Consider the following 15,834-nt stretch of genomic DNA (forward strand, 5'->3'; position numbering starts at 1 on the left):
CCCCCAACCCCACAACAGGCCCCGGTGTGTGATGTTCCCCTTCCTGTGTCCATGTGTTTTCATTGTTCAGTTCCCACCTATGAGTGAGAACATGTGGTGTTTGGTTTTTGTCCCTGCGATAGTTTGCTGAGAATGATGGTTTCCAGCTTCATCCATGTCCCTACAAAGGACATGAACTCATCCTTTTTTATGGCTGCATAGTATTCCCTGGTGTATATGTGCCACATTTTCTTAATCCAGTCTATCATTGATGGACATTTGGGTTGGTTCCAAGTCTTTGCTATTGTGAATAGTGCCGCAATAAACATACATGTGCATGTGTCTTTATAGCAGCATGACTTATAATCCTTTGGGTATACACCCAGTAATGGGATGGCTGGGTCAAATGGTATTTCTAGTTCTAGATCCCTGAGGAATCGCCACACTGTCTTCCACAATGGTTGAACCAGTTTACTCTCCCACCAACAGTGTAAAAGTGTTCCTGTTTCTCCACATCCTCTCCAGCACCTGTTGTTTCCTGACTTTTTAATGATCGCCATTCTAACTGGTGTGAGATGGTATCTCATTGTAGTTTTGATTTACATTTCTCTGATGGCCAGTGATGATGAGCATTTTTTCATGTGTCTGTTGGCTGCATAAATGTCTTTTGAGAAGTGTCTGTCCATATCCTTTGCCCACTTTTTGATGGGGTTGTTTTTTTCTTGTAAATTTGTTTGAGTTCTTTGTAGATTCTGGATATTAGCCCTTTGTCAGATGAGTAGATTGCAAAATTTTTCTCCCATTCTGTAGGTTGCCTGTTCACTCTGATGGTAGTTTCTTTTGCTATGCAGAAGCTCTTCAGTTTAATTAGCTCCCATTTGTCAATTTTGTCTTTTGTTGCCATTGCTTTTGGTGTTTCAGACATGAAGTCCTTGCCCATGCCTATGTCCTGAATGGTATTGCCTTGGTTTTCTTCTAGGGTTTTTATGGTTTTAGGTCTAACATTTAAGTCTTTAATCCATCTTGAATTAATTTTTGTATAAGGTGTAAGGAAGGGATCCAGTTTCAGCTTTCTACATATGGCTAGCCAGTTTTCCCAGCACCATTTGTTAAATAGGGAATCCTTTCCCCATTTCTTGTTTTTGTCAGGTTTGTCAAAGATCAGATGGTTGTTGATGTGTGGTATTATTTCTGAGGGCTCTGTTCTGTTCCATTGGTCTATATCTCTGTTTTGGTACCAGTACCATGCTGTTTTGGTTCCTGTAGCCTTGTAGTATAGTTTGAAGTCAGGTAGCGTGATGCCTCCAGCTTTGTTCTTTTTCCTTAGGATTGTCTTGGCAATGTGGGCTCTTTTTTGGTTCCATATTAACTTTAAAGTAGTTTTTTCCCATTCTGTGAAGAAAGTCAGTGGTAGCTTGATGGGGATGGCATTAAATCTATAAATTACCTTGGGCAGTATGACCATTTTCACGATATTGATTCTTCCTATCCATGAGCATGGAATGTTCTTCCATTTGTTTGTGTCCTCTTTTATTTCATTGAGCAGTGGTTTGTAGTTCTCCTTGAAGAGGTCTTTCACATCCCGTGTAAGTTGGATTCCTAGGTATTTTATTCTCTTTGAAGCAATTGTGAATGGGAGTTCACTCATGATTTGGCTCTCTGTTTGTTATTGGTGTATAGGAATGCTTGTGATTTTTGCACATTGATTTTGTATCCTGAGACTTTGCTGAAGTTGCTTATCAGCTTAAGGAGATTTTGGGCTGAGACAATGGGGTTTTCTAGATATACAATCATGTCATCTGCAAACAGGGACAATTTGACTTCCTCTTTTCCTAACTGAATACCCTTTATTTCTTTCTCCTGCCTGATTGCTCTGGCCAGAACTTCCAACACTATGTTGAATAGGAGTGGTGAGAGAGGGCATCCCTGTCTTGTGCCAGTTTTCAAAGTGAATGCTTCCAGTTTTTGCCCATTCAGTATGATATTGGCTGTGGGTTTGTCATAAATAGCTCTTATTATTTTGAGATATGTACCGTCAATACCTAATTTATTGAGAGTTTTTAGCATGAAGGGCTGTCGAATTTTGGTAAAGGCCTTTTCTGCATCTATTGAGATAATCATGTGGTTTTTGTCTTTGGTTCTGTTTATATGCTGGATTACGTTTATTGGTTTGCGTATGTTGAACCAGCCTAAGCAAAGCAGTTTTATCTTTCACAAAGTCATTCACATTTATGATAAGTAATAGAACATGGGAAGTACATCTGGATATTGGGATTTGCATTTTTGTCAGGAGTCCTTCTTAAATAATTATATAAGAGTTCTTATAGTTAACACGGTAAGGAAGAAAACAGTGGATTTTACTGTTAACTGAGGGGTGTTAGATTTTTATAGTCTCAGGCCATATCTCATTATCAAAACCAAAAGCATAAGTGGGAAGTAAGTTGGTGCTTTGTATGCTTCCCTTGGTTGTGAAAATTAGCATCAGTAATGATAGGTAATACCTTTTGCCTAGATTAAGCCAATGAAGTTTCTCAATTTCTGCACCCCTGAGTTCCTTCTCTTGGGTGCAGCTTCAGTTGGTTCTGCTACCACCAAGACCTCCTCTGGCCTCTGTGGTTCTAAAATAATTCTGATTTAGTCTTTCCATTTCCCCTCAGCTGAAATATGACAGTTAATGTGTTTGAGAATGATTGATGTTCATATGTGTGGCATTTTGCCTTTGAAATGGAAATTTAAAAATCACTGAAATTCTAGTTTGATTTGCAATCTGACAGGTTTTTTTGTCTTTTCTTAGGTATGGTGTGGTGGACTTTCTTTGAGTACTGGGATGCAGGTTCCAAGTGCTGTGAGAACACTTCAGAAAAGTGAAAATGGAATGACTGGTTCAGCTAGCAGCCTGAACAATGTTGTTACTCAATAGTGTCTACTCAGAATACGTTTACCCTCCGTCTTGATTAGGTGGCCTTTTCTGTGCAGTTACTAATCACAGGAATTTGGTAGTAGTGAAAATCAGGTTTGCTGTGTTCTGCTTTGAGGCCTGGAATCTTTTATCATTAAACACCTAGTACGAAGCATTTGCAGGAACCTACTGTGCAGTATCATAGAAGCAAGCAGATACCAAGCAAAAAACTGATGATTGAAGAGTAAATGGGGGAAAAGGCAGTGTTTAATTAACATAAAAACTCATTTTTGTATTTCTTGGATTACTTTGACTATTCTAATGTTTAATTACATATGGTAACCCTAAGGCCTGGGGAGAAAAGCTTTTAAATCTTGCCTTCTTTCTTCTGTACTTTGTCTTTTTAAAATCTCATTACTATCTATTATTTAGTTCTAACACAGAAGCTTTAAAAATACATAGTCATCCAAGGTTTTCTAAAAATTGAAATCATATGTTGGGAATGGTAAAAAGGTTTTCAAATGGTTTATTTTTCCTCTTTTATAAATAAGTTTTACAAAATTTTCCTCTTTTGTTTATTGACTAGATTGTATATAATTTTCTTTTTTCCAAAATATTGTGATAAGAAATTTCTAGACACAACAGCTTAAAATCACCCAAATTTCAGTTCTTTACCTACTGCACTAACAATGGCAAGGGGGGTATTCTTTATATGTTGCCTTGTTTAACTACAGTTCTTTTCATTCCATCACTTTAGGTGATGGGTAAGATTTTTGAAAGCCTTATATTTTTTGATTTTGTTGTCTAGTTTAATCCTACCTTTAATAGTTGTGTTTGGTAAAATTCCCACTTGAATGTGACACTGATAATAATTATGCTGATTTTTAGCATCTCTTATAGGAATCAAAGTTTATTAAAGTTACATAGAGGATTGAAAAATGTATATCACTCAATTTTTATCTAAGAAGGATAGGTTATAAAGGGAGGTACCTAAATACTCAAATAATGTATATATTCTTTTTCATAACATATGGAATGCTTTAAGCAATTGTTTTGAAAAAAATCTGCGTATCTTTGACTTAATTGGCACATGACTTTTTCAAGCAGCCATTCATTCAGAGGTTTGTTTTCTCTCAGTCCTTTTGCTACATTCACTTTCTTTTCAAAGAAATGTTAATTATTACAAAAATTGACATAGATATCTTTCCCAAACTTGGGGTAAAACCCATGGTTATGTGGAACATAACTGTTCTTAAAAAGTCAATTATAATTTGTAACTCACATCCTTTGAGCTAAACTAAATTAAAATTACAGTATTTAATAATTCTTTGGGCATTTTTAAGAGGTCTGAATTTGTATTTTTCTTCATTTTTGAAACTTTACATTTGTTGACTTTTTTTCATTCTCATTTAAAATATATTGTGCTATGATAACCAACCTTCTTCCAAGGAGTGACCATTACTGCCTACATTTGCGTTGCTTTCTACATAGAGACTTGTATAATAGTATTAATAGTAGCTCATTCTCTCTAAAAATTTACTGCCCACTGATAGGATGTTTTGTTTCCTTGATAAAACAAATGTAAATGAGGAATTTTATTTGAATTGGAATATTGTTTTTCTAGAGGACATTCATATCTGCACTATTATCTGATGACATGTTGGTAATTTTAAAGACTGCAAGGCAGTTTAGAGAATGAAGTAAACCAATAGATACTCTTTTGATTCTCCAAAGAAATATAATTTTGGTTTTTGTTCCTCAGAGAGAGTTTGAAAGAAATTTTCAGATGTTCTGTTCCCTATAGAGGGCCTATTCCAGGATCTAAATGAATGGGAATTTATAATTCCTTTCATAGACTCAAACCTGAAAGCAGAAATTTTTAGTAGTTGAGTTGCTTTAAGTGAATTTTAACAAATATGACACAGAAAAGGTCAGATGCTGTTGTATAAAATTTTTTACTAGTGTGTCTTATATAATTCTTTCTTCTCATTAATTCAGTGCCTTTTTCCTCTAAGCATACTCTTGGTCCATGCCCCATGCAGTGTCAACTGATGTTTAAGCTACAGAGCATTGTTGTAGTGGTGAGGGCCCTCTGTTGCAGGGGCATGGGGAAATGCATATATTAATCAGGGGCTGGAGGAGTATACATGATTCTTGTGTTCATGTTGTCATTTGAAACTCTTCACATAAAATTTTCTAATATTCATTTGGAAAACCTCTCCACTGGAGAGGTTTCATCTCTGAGAGGTTTTGTAATAATAGTGTAAGTTCAGTAAATCCAGTCCAAATTCTCATCACATGTATTATTTGATACTAAATTTTCAATTATTACTTCAAAATAAGAGTCTGAGGATTTCTTCTTACTGGCGTTCTTAAAGGTCTCTAAAATTAAAGAACAAGATGTGGTTTTTTGTTTAAGACGTTTTTAGTTTATTTGTTGTTAAGTTAAACTGGAGAAAGTTTGTCATCCTCATTTTCAAACTGAAAACTAATCAAATATAGTGCCTATTTAGTCTCAAAATAAGGTAACTATTAACTTGATTATACTATATAATATTCTCAATTACATTTGAATTTAAAAATATTGAGCTCTTGATTACAATTTAATACATTGTAAAAAGTATTAAATCCTTTGAAACATCTTTTGTTGCTTATTTAGTTTTTGTTTCTACAGGTCAAACATGATTGCTTTCTATAAAAGAAATGCTTGAGAGGTTGACTATAATGGATATGTCACAGGTATAAAACAGTTGTTTTCTAAAAACATGCATTTAGTATGGCATTCTCTTTTAGCAACTGAATTCCCAACGAGTTTTATTAAGCTGGATATCGAAATGAAGGAGCTGCCTTAAGCACTTTAGAAAAAGAATTTTTTTACAATTCATTTTGACTCTCATGGCTGACCATGTCATTATGTCTTTAAATTTTGGTAAATATGTAGATACCAAGCATTAATAACTAATGCACACAGAAATTTAATATACAGCAATTCTTTGAATGTTCCAGGTGTACGTAAACTAACTGAAAGTATTAAGGACATGCCTGTCTATACATGGGTTTCATTGATGGTATCTGTATCATCTTGACAAATCGTGAACTGCTGCTGTATGGCTAGACTTTGCCTATTTACTCTGTTATGCAAACAGTAATTTTTCCCTATGTTATGAAGAGAGACATATTGGCTTGCTTTAATTTACTTATTTATGAAATTAAAGCATGAATAATATGTATAATTTGAATTTTTTGTGACTGATCCTTGGCAGTATAAATGATAAAAGTAAATGTAATGGAATCTTTTAATTAGGCTAAGATATGCTATTTCATAACTTATGTAGAATGATTTTTATCTATATACTTTGTCCATAAAATTATAATTGTTTATGTAATTTTATTGTTTCTTATGGAAACAATTGGAAAAGTATATGGAAAATGATTATTTCAAAGAATATTTATTTAAAGAGGGAAGTGTAGACTTCTTACTGTAAAATATGTGATTCCAGGCTTAAGAAATTGATTATATTTTAAAATAATTATTTTTTTAAAAACGTAATTTGTTTTTAAAAGATGAGTCTCCATTCATTGGCTAATCCATACAGCAAATATTTGAGTGTTTGTGATATGGCAGTAAAAATGTGATTACTTTGTATGTACATTAACCAAAACCAGTGAAGTTTGATGGACTGTGCATAGAGTTTTGCAGCTTTTGAGTAGTGTGACAGAGTTTGCCTCTTAAAATTGTTTTGCTAATAAGTCAGAAGTTTAAAATGTGTTATAGTTTGCTAAAAAAAAATCAAATTAACTGCATATAAAATGGTTCACTTTTATATAGTCACATGTAATGGGCCTGAAAAAGTTTCTTCTTTGATTATGTAGTTACTCTAGATACATTCTTTTAGGGAAGTGTATGGTCAACATATATTTACTCAGTATACAGATAACCACAAAGTTGTTATTTTTAACCAAAATATACATTTCATAATGTTGGCACTGGAGTATTATAAGAGATCATGAATGTTTCCTTAATTATCATGGCAAGATTACCTCACGTTCAGTATAGTTTAGTTTTGTGTGTATCTTACAGTATGCATGTTCTGAAATTATTTGTGATCCTGATATGTCACATATAATAGCTTTGTTACCTGGAGTATTTGATTAACCTAAACAGTTTAAGCATTTTGAATTAGTTGGAGTTTAAATGGATTACATTTGGTGTATATTGTCTTCATTGAAAAGATATTGTTGGATATGCCACATCAGAGTTAGCATTGACTTATAAATAAATACCAGAATTTACCAGAGTACACTTTTCTCTTCAGATGACTCAATTATTAAATAAAAGAATATTTCTTATTTCTGGGTCAATATAAGGTACTGACTTCTGATGCATAATCACTTAAGCTATGTGAGTTTAAACTGGTATCTTTTCTTAGTGGTACCCATTCAATGTAAGCTGGTCCATGGGAATGGACATGAAGAGGATTTCACAGTATGTAGAGCAGAAGGCACGTGAATGTGTTTGCTTTGGCTTGGAGCTTATTAAGTTTTGACTACGGTTAAAATAAGTCAAATAGTAAGTGGTAAAACACATTTTTGTTAGTATTGGAACTTTCTGGAGAACATAAGGGCTATGAGAATGCATATATATATTTTTTAACATTTCCTATATATCTAAGGTACCAAAGCACTGAGTCTAATTTACCTATTAAGGGAGACTCTTTAAAATCAACTTTATAACTAATTCATACTATAAGACAGATAATAGCTAAAGTTTTGGAATAATTTATATTAAAAGCCGCAAGTCTTAAAAATCCCTGGATATGACATAAAAAGGATTTTGGCTTCTTTTTTGAAGTATTTAAAATTAATCACCTTAGCTCTACCATATACTAGATCTGTGACCGCTACACAAATTGTTTATCATCTTTGGGTCTCTATTGCCTTCTTTATAAAATAAGTGTAAGTTGTTCAGCCTGCCTCACAGGGCTGTTGTGAGGAAATAAAATGAAATGGAGTATGTGAAATTGCTTCAGCAACAGCAAAGTGCTACGTAAATGTAAAGTGTTGTTTTTAGCTAATAATGGATTTAAGTGTTTGGATAATTGTAGATGCATTTACTTTGATAAAGCGTGTGCTTAAAGTGGTATCACCAGTGATTTCTAACATGATTTTAAAAAAATAAAACCCCAATTAAAATGTTCTTTAATATTCATTTAATTTGTGCATGACTTGTGGCCTTTTTGTATTTTCTCAAGCCTATTACTCTAGAGCTGTAAAAGCTCTTGCACAGCATTGTTGTGTCAGTGTAGAATAGTGGCATAAATAAATGAATTAAGCTACATTTCCATGCAGGCATTTGCACTTTGAAGTTAGGGCTGCCCAGTGCCACATGCAAAGAGTGTATTTGGTCTAAACAGTTCTTTCCAAACAACCAAATGGCTGGGCAGCTTGTTGTCACGGATAAATGATATAAAATGTAACCACTGAACATTTGACAACTTTGTTGCATTATCATTTTTAAAAAAAGATGAAGCATTTCAAAATCTTGTTAACCTGGTTATCTCTTGGTATCTCTCCTGACATATTTGTTTTGCTTTAAATTGGATTAAATGGTTTACAGGTTATCTGAATCTACAGATTTAGTATGTCTATTATCTGGACATGATTTTGCTATGCAGTTGTGATAATAAAAATTCTAATTCCTCAGGTTTGGCCTTTTAAGTTATGGCTGAAGACCTTTAATGATACTTATGATGCACTCAGTGCCATACAATAGTGTTTTAAGAAGCACATGGCCTCATTTTCCTTAGAAACAAGACAAAGCCTTTTTAAAATGTTTTTTTTTCACTTTAAAATAGGGTATTCAAAGTGGAGTAACGTGTATTTTGAAATGATTTTGTGTTCTATATAGAATGTCCCAGTTAAGATTTTACAGAAGCACCTGGAATATCTCATTAAAAATTTAAAAACTCTTTTCCTGCTCTCTTTTGCTTCATTGTTTGATTTTATTAACTTTTATTTAAGTATAAATACAATATGCTGTTGGGGATGAGAATATAAAAAAAGTCATAGTTCCTTTGCCTAAAAAGCTTAACATTTTAGAGCACTACTGTTCAACAGAATTTTATGCAATTATGAAAAGTTATTTGTGCAGTCCAATACAGTAGTGACTGGCCATAGGCAGCTACTGAGCACTTTATATGTGGCTACATAGAGTTGCATATTGCTAATAGCCACTGTTTTGAACAGTGTACCTACAGATGGAAAATGAAACATGCTATGTTAGTAACTATAATATTACTTATGAATTTGGTTTCTTTGGATCTTGCTACATGTTGGGTTACATTTTGGTAGATGGTAACTAAGAGTCAGAATCAGAACCTAAACATTTTTAAAATTCTTGCTCTAACTTGAAAACAGTTTAAAAGAAAAAAAATCAGTGAGACTGGAGCGCCTGTAACTAAGAAGTTATGTAAGAAGAATGAAAGGAGACTGGATAGTCTTGAGTCACAGGAAGAAGAATGGACAAAGATTGATAAACCACTATAGAAGATGGAGAGTGAATGGGTGCAGCATTTCTGGAGAACAATTTTAGCAATATTAAGATTTTTAAATGCACATGCTCCTTAATTTCCTTTATAAGTATTTCTCTTACATATATACTCACAAAAAAGCCAATGTTCCTTGCAGCATTACCATAGCTAATAGTAGCAACCTAATTATTAATTGAAGACCTACAAATTTGGATGGACTTGGAGGTAAATTCCTTTTCCTTTTTTGGTAGCAAGGCACAGAACTGGTTCAAAAGGCCCAAGTTGCCTCAACAAAAGAATGTGATAACAGAATTTTGAAGGCTCCCCTTTTCTAACTTGCTGCACCAGCAAACTACCATATAAGTAGTGGTCTAGATATTATATATTCTGCACATTCCCCTCCCCAATAAATGTTATATAGACCATTATGACAATTGGCTTAATTAGAGCCTTTTCCTTGGTATACCAGTTCATTTGTGCCTGGCTGGGAGTTCTGTGGCATAAGAGCTCAGGATATTATGTGCACTCTACTTTTCTACTAAACCCCATTTTACACTTACACTGCATGGTGTATTTGTATTTATTTATTTTTGCACAAGGTCAGCACAAGAGCAGATGGTTAGATTTTGGTATTTCCATGTGATCCTACACAGCTGTTAAAGGATATGCTGTTAATGGAAGTGTATTCATGATATTAAACAAAAAAGTCATCCAGCAATATATACAGTACGATACAACGGGTGTGTGCATGCATGTATACTTGGGTAAGAGGGGACCCTGACCTGATCACCACACAGTCTTGCTGTGCTTCTCTTCATGGGATGAAAAATTGAGGAGCCAAGGGATTATGCCTACTTGGAATGCATGTTTCATTACCCACTTATATACTATATTATTGAAACAGTCTTTCGTTGTCTGAGATAACACCTGGAGTTCTTGTCCACTTATATACTACATTATTGAAACAGTCTTTCGTTGTCTGAGATAACACCTGGAGTTCTTGTCCCACCTCCAAGACGATTATGGAGCACGGACACAAAGGTGAGGTTAGAGTGAAAGTTTAATAAGGTGAAAGAAGAAAGCTCTCTGCCAGCAGAGAGGGGGTCCCGAACGGGAGTGCCCATCATGAGGCTGGGGTCCAGGTTTTTATGGACGGAAGGGGAAGGAATGTGCTTAGTCTGGGGGCTGTCTTGGCGAATGCGTGACTCGGCTTGGCCCGGGACCAGTCAGGAGGTGAAATGATTCATAGATGCTGCTTAGCTTGGCCCAGGACCTATCAGAAGCTGAAGTGAAGTGTGGCCGAGGACCAATCGGGCTGAGGTGATGATACACAGCAGCTGGACTTACAGTCCTAACAAAGGAAAGTAGAGCGCCCATAGGAACTTACCAGAGCCCACTGTGCCCATGCCTACAAAAGGGGAATAAACTTTTCCTGGGAACCTGCTGACAATACAAAGGACCAAGGCATTTCTATGCCAGGCCTTGTTCCCTTATCTGAGTGAGCTGGAGGTTTGTGCAAGTTTTTATCCAAATGGGCCGTAGGTTTTTCCATCTGTGCAGTCATGGGCATGTCTCCAGGCACAACACCCTGTGCTAGTTCCCTTATTGGTGCCTGCAGCTTTTTTCCCAGGCTGCTTTTTATATTATCTGGGGATAAGGCACTGACTCATGAGCCAGGGGCTCTCCAGGACCCTTCTCTTGTTACCTACCTAAGGTAAGCTAACTAACCGGATCCCCACACTCTTGCTGTGCCTCTCTTCATGGGATGAAAAATTGAGGAGCCAAGGGACTATGCCTACTTGGAATCCATGTTCCTTTACCCACAGAATTCTATACTATGTTATCAGCCAGAACCCCAGGATTCCTTGCCTCATCAGCCTGAAGCTTGCTTCCAGGATATGTGCAGGCCTTTTGTCCAAATCCATCCTGAAAAAAGACTACTACAGATGTATATACCCCTATGGCTGGCAGTTTGTGGGAAGTACAGATGAAGCTTGGATGTGCAGACTGAGTTGTCCACATGCATGCATGATAGGCCCCTGTGGCAGGCTTAAGCTAGAAGTAAAAAGAGACCCAGGGGATCAGGGAAGGGCAGGCCAACCTAGTATCACTTTCTAGTACACTTCTGAAGAATCTGCGAATCGCATATTTGAACCTAGATTTCTGTTCCTTGAGAATACATGTTAAAGTAGAAGAGTATAACATTTTATTTGTTGGTTAACGCTCAGCTATTTAGACACTGAAAATATGTCAGGGTTGGCTTTCATTTGTATTCTTGGCCCAGACCCTACAAATGTTAGGAGTCGGCCAGGATCCTTACATGTGTGCACAGCTGAGTGGTTTATAGAACATGAATATTTACTTGTAAGAGAGGCTGTTTTTATGCATCCTTGTACCCACTCTTTCAGCTGTATTTGCTATCCAGATTAAAGCATACTGACTTGACGTTTGCCATGAGCTGAGGGCTCACATTTGACCTTTCAGTATGCTTGATAAGTAACACTGCCACCAGTTTAGTTGTATATTTACCTTCAGTTATGTTTGTTCCCAAACCTGCTTATGTAGGTGGTAGTCACTGTTGTAGTCATGTAAGTATGTAAACCAATTATATAAATATATAAACCAAAATAAATATGAAATGAGTATGAAAAGGTACTTATAAGAAAAGTACGAGAACCATTAGAGATGAAGAGTTTAAAAAGTTGCAAAGTTAGTTGTGGCCAAAGTAATTGTGAGTGATAGGGGAAGATTTTTAAAAATAAATTCCAGGACTCCAAATTTATATTCCTTCACTTGTATCTTTAAGTTCCTGGTCCATTTTACAGAAACAGAAACTACAAATGATGGATGATGCATTATGTCTATGGTTTTGTAAGAAAAACAGTGAGATACTCTAATCAGCTGGTCCATGCTTAAAATGAACTTAGTTCAAAACAGAAGATTGGCCATTGTAACCCTCTACTGAAACTGCCTTTTTGAGAAGGTTTATTCAGAACTAGATTTGTTATACACTTGGAAAGTATTTATTTCTAAGAACCTGATAATTTTTCCCTTTTCCTGTTACTTTTAATTATAATTTCCAAATATACAGAAAAGTAGAAAGCCAGTGCTTTGTGCTCATCACCTAATCAATTGTTAACATTTTGCCATGTTTGTGCTATCTATTTTGTTTTAAAATGTCACCTGTAAGTATGCTATATGCATCCATGATGGCTTTTAAAAACAGCCACATTCTGTTAACATTCTTAGCAAAATTAACAGTAATTCTGTACTATTATCTAATGGATCAGTCCATACTAAAATTTCAGTTGTCTCAGAAGTATCTTTTTACAGTTATCTTGTTCAAATCAAGATCTAGACAGGGTCCACACATTGTACTCCGTTACATCTCTTAAATATTTGATTTTACAATAGTTCCCTCTGCTTTTAAATGCCATTTATGAAAAAAACTGAGGAATTTGTCTGGTAGAATGTCCCGTTTTCTGAATTTAGTTGCTTCTCTATATCCTGTATTAGATCTAGAGTTTGAGTAAATGCAGGTTCAATTTTTAGGCAAGAATCCTTCACAGGTGTGGCTGTGTACTTTCTATCACATCAGGAAGTACATAATATATGCTTGTCCCAAATTTAGTGAGATTAAGATCAGTGGGTTTAGGTGATGCCAGTCTATTATAAAGTTCCCCATCAACCTTTCACCTTAATTTTATCATCTATTGATGTTGCCCTTTCGATTATTTTATTAGGAGTTACAAAATCGTGATTGTTTTATCATCCTCCATTTATTAGCTGGAACTCTTATAAGTACTTTGGTTACACTAAAATTCAATTCATACAAGAAAGGCAGGATAAATGCTTGATGTTTTCCCTTATCAAGTTTTAGAATATTTAATCTTCAACTTGGCAATCTTCAATCACGACTGAATTTTATTTTTTAAGGAGTCATTATAAACTCAAGAATTTTTATATTTGATGTGTTTCAATCAATAGCAAGTATGTGATGCTCAAGTTTTCCCATGTCCCATCACGTTAGCACCTGTGTTAATGATGCCATTAAGCTTTGATAACTTACTTCCTCTTGGTGTAACCTTCCACTTTTTTTTATTAACCTACTGAGTACCTACCCGTTCTGAGTGCATTGGATGAGAGGACTTCAACAGTAAGCTTGTATGTGCATAGGAAATTTCTGGAAGGAAAAACAAAAAGTTGGTAAATGTCATAACCTGTAGGAAGTGAGGAAGATTTTTTCTTCCTTTTCTTTCTGTACTGATAGAATTAAAAACAAAGCTTAGAAAACAAATATATGATGGGAGTATTTTCCGTTTTGTAGAAATAAATTATAATTACAGTAACTGGTTTAGTGAATTATGGTTTTCAAAAATTTATAAGAAGATTAATATCTGAGCCTTAACAACCACCTTTTGGATTACACCGTTAAAAGAACCAAAGTGAGAGGATCGCTTGAGGCCAAGAGTTCGAGACCAGCCTGGGCAAGATGGTGAGGACGCCCTCCCCCCCACCCCCGCCACACCCCGCCCTGCTAGCCCCCAACGTCTCTACAAAAAAAGAAAAGAAAAAAGTTAATCAGGTACAAAATTGTATCCAGCCTTAAACTGGAGGGCAACAGGTCGCTAAATCTTGAATGTCATAAAGGCACCTCAACTTCATGAGGAATAGTGAACGCAGCTGCTATTTTCCACTCTATCCCCTAGCTCTACTAATTGTATCCAAACCAAACTTCAGGGAGTTATGCTGAATCCCTCTAGCAAAGCACACGCACTAAAAAAACCACTCGTTTATCAGAAGTTCACATTTAACGGGCTTGGAAAACGGCTCAGCTGCTGCCTCCAGTTCATCTTCCGCTGTCGAAAGCGTTTCAGAACTTAAACTCTCAGATTGCCTCAGTGCGCTGCTGTAGTTGTCAATTAGGCAAGAGATAAAAAAGGGCTTTGGCTAAGTGGCTAGATTATAAAAGCGAGGAATCGCCAGGGCTCAGTGAACTTCTGGCGGTGAGGATGCGACAAGAGTCACAGGAAAGCCGAGGCTGGGGCTGGACCGTGGGAACGTCCCAGCAGGAACCAAGCCAGCCTCCGCCGCTCAGCACTTGACGGCGGCTTTTGCGGCGGTTGCTGTGAGTGCCGTAAAGCGGAGCGGCTGCAGCCTGCTGTTGAGTGAGGTAAGGTACGGGAGGCTCAGGTCGGTACCCGGGGATGGGTGGGCGCCTTCAGACAGGTACCGCTGGCGACTCGGGTGCCCTTACCGGGCATCCTCCAGCATTCTGGGCACCTGCCTACCCCTTGGTGAGGAGGCCGGCCACAGGCTGAGCGCGCTCCGGGCTGGGTACTCCTCAGTCAGTCCACGAGCATCGCGTGGTAGACTTCCACTTGGCCAGTCCTTCCCGCACTTCTGGGCGTGTCATCAGGTGAAATCTTAATCCTGGGACAGATGAAAGGTTGGAGGACGATCGAGACTCTTGTAGTAGCCGGGTTAGGGTAGTGACCCCTGACCTCAGGTTATCCGCCCGCGTTGGCCTCTCAAAGTGCTGAGATTACAGCCGTGAGCCACCGCGCCCGGCCTGAAATTTACAATTTCTCATTTAACATGAGGTAAGCCACATTTCTCTTGGCTTCAGTTTTGTCAGATGTGGAAAAAAAAAAAAAAGGACCTAGATGATATATCAGATTCTTTATGCTTTTGAAGATAGCACGTTTCCAGTCGGTAAAAATCAAGCTGTGAACAAATGACAAAGTGAATGATAGAGCAGTATATTAGAAATTGGGCAGATGGAAGCCCAGTAGAAAAGGCTGTGTTTGAGCTAGACTCTGAGGATAAATAGGGTTTGAACGATTGGAAACCATCTCTGTTGGGCCATGGACAAAGATATCAAATGCAGGAATAAGCATTTATATTTTAGCGATTCTATTTGTGGACATAAGTTTAGTGAGGGTAGAGGATTTGGGAAGGCTGGCATTGAACGGTGAAAGAACTCTTAGTGGAAAGGAAGTGCAGGGTGTTCTGACAAGGAAGAAGAAAGGAACCGGGGAAATGCCGAAAGAACAATACGCAGGACTTGATTTCTTGGATCTGGGTGATGATATTTTTAACCTGCGTTTCTAAAAAGTAAGTTTAAGTGCTGTTGGCAAAAATGGGAATTCTGTTGAATTCCAGCATGCAATAGTGTACTGGGAATAAAGTGATTTAGATCGTAGAGTGCTGAGGTTGCCAATAACTAGCCTCTTGGCTGTCATTTAATTCTTCTAGAGCCTATTCTCCATAAGGTGATGTTGGGCCAGCTGATCTCTCTTCTCTAAAGCCTGTAAAACTAGAGACTGTGAGGATGGAGAGCTAGTTACTTTCTTCTGGACTGGGAGAGGACGATAGTTGACAGAGAATAAAATTGTTAATTTTGGGGCTGGACGCGGTGGCTCA

General features: G+C 36.8%; 2 protein-coding genes and 1 long non-coding RNA gene across 69 annotated transcripts in view, besides 2 other annotated features; 2 read left to right on the forward strand and 1 right to left on the reverse strand.

Moving 5' to 3' along the window:
* FSD1L (fibronectin type III and SPRY domain containing 1 like) overlaps nt 1–8,849 on the forward strand; it is a 110,257-nt gene extending 101,408 nt beyond the window's left edge. For all 16 annotated transcript variants that reach the window (XM_017015185.2, XM_011519079.3, XM_011519078.3 and 13 more), the window contains one exon: nt 2,774–8,849. In XM_017015185.2, coding sequence (XP_016870674.1) covers nt 2,774–2,798 — 25 coding nt within the window. In that variant the 3' untranslated portion in view covers nt 2,799–8,849. The remainder of the gene's footprint in view (nt 1–2,773) is intronic.
* FKTN-AS1 (FKTN antisense RNA 1) lies at nt 10,451–14,722 on the reverse strand. Its single transcript, NR_184141.1, has 3 exons — nt 14,186–14,722; nt 13,530–13,591; nt 10,451–10,759 (listed from the first exon to the last, which is right to left on the reverse strand). It is a non-coding gene; the product is annotated as an FKTN antisense RNA 1 (long non-coding RNA).
* Nucleotides 14,408–14,457: an enhancer, noted in NCBI's record as "active region_28743". NCBI's record gives its function as "activates an Ori minimal core promoter by ATAC-STARR-seq in GM12878 lymphoblastoid cells {active_cell/tissue: GM12878}" and the evidence as "EXISTENCE:reporter gene assay evidence [ECO:0000049][PMID:35858748]".
* The window catches only part of FKTN (fukutin), an 82,989-nt gene continuing 81,700 nt past the window's right edge, over nt 14,546–15,834 (forward strand). For 35 of the 52 annotated variants that reach the window (XM_047422979.1, XM_047422974.1, XM_047422978.1 and 32 more), the window contains exon 1: nt 14,546–14,581. The gene's annotated coding sequence lies outside the window, so the exon portion shown is untranslated. Of the gene's footprint in view, nt 14,828–15,834 lie in introns of all 52 variants that reach the window. The other 17 variants (NR_147213.2, NR_147214.2, NM_001351502.2 and 14 more) reach the window with 2 other exon arrangements.
* Nucleotides 14,618–14,807: an enhancer, noted in NCBI's record as "active region_28744". NCBI's record gives its function as "activates an Ori minimal core promoter by ATAC-STARR-seq in GM12878 lymphoblastoid cells {active_cell/tissue: GM12878}" and the evidence as "EXISTENCE:reporter gene assay evidence [ECO:0000049][PMID:35858748]".

This window comes from Homo sapiens, chromosome 9, assembly GCF_000001405.40.
Source record: "Homo sapiens chromosome 9, GRCh38.p14 Primary Assembly".
In the NCBI taxonomy this organism is placed as follows: Eukaryota; Metazoa; Chordata; class Mammalia; order Primates; family Hominidae; genus Homo; species Homo sapiens.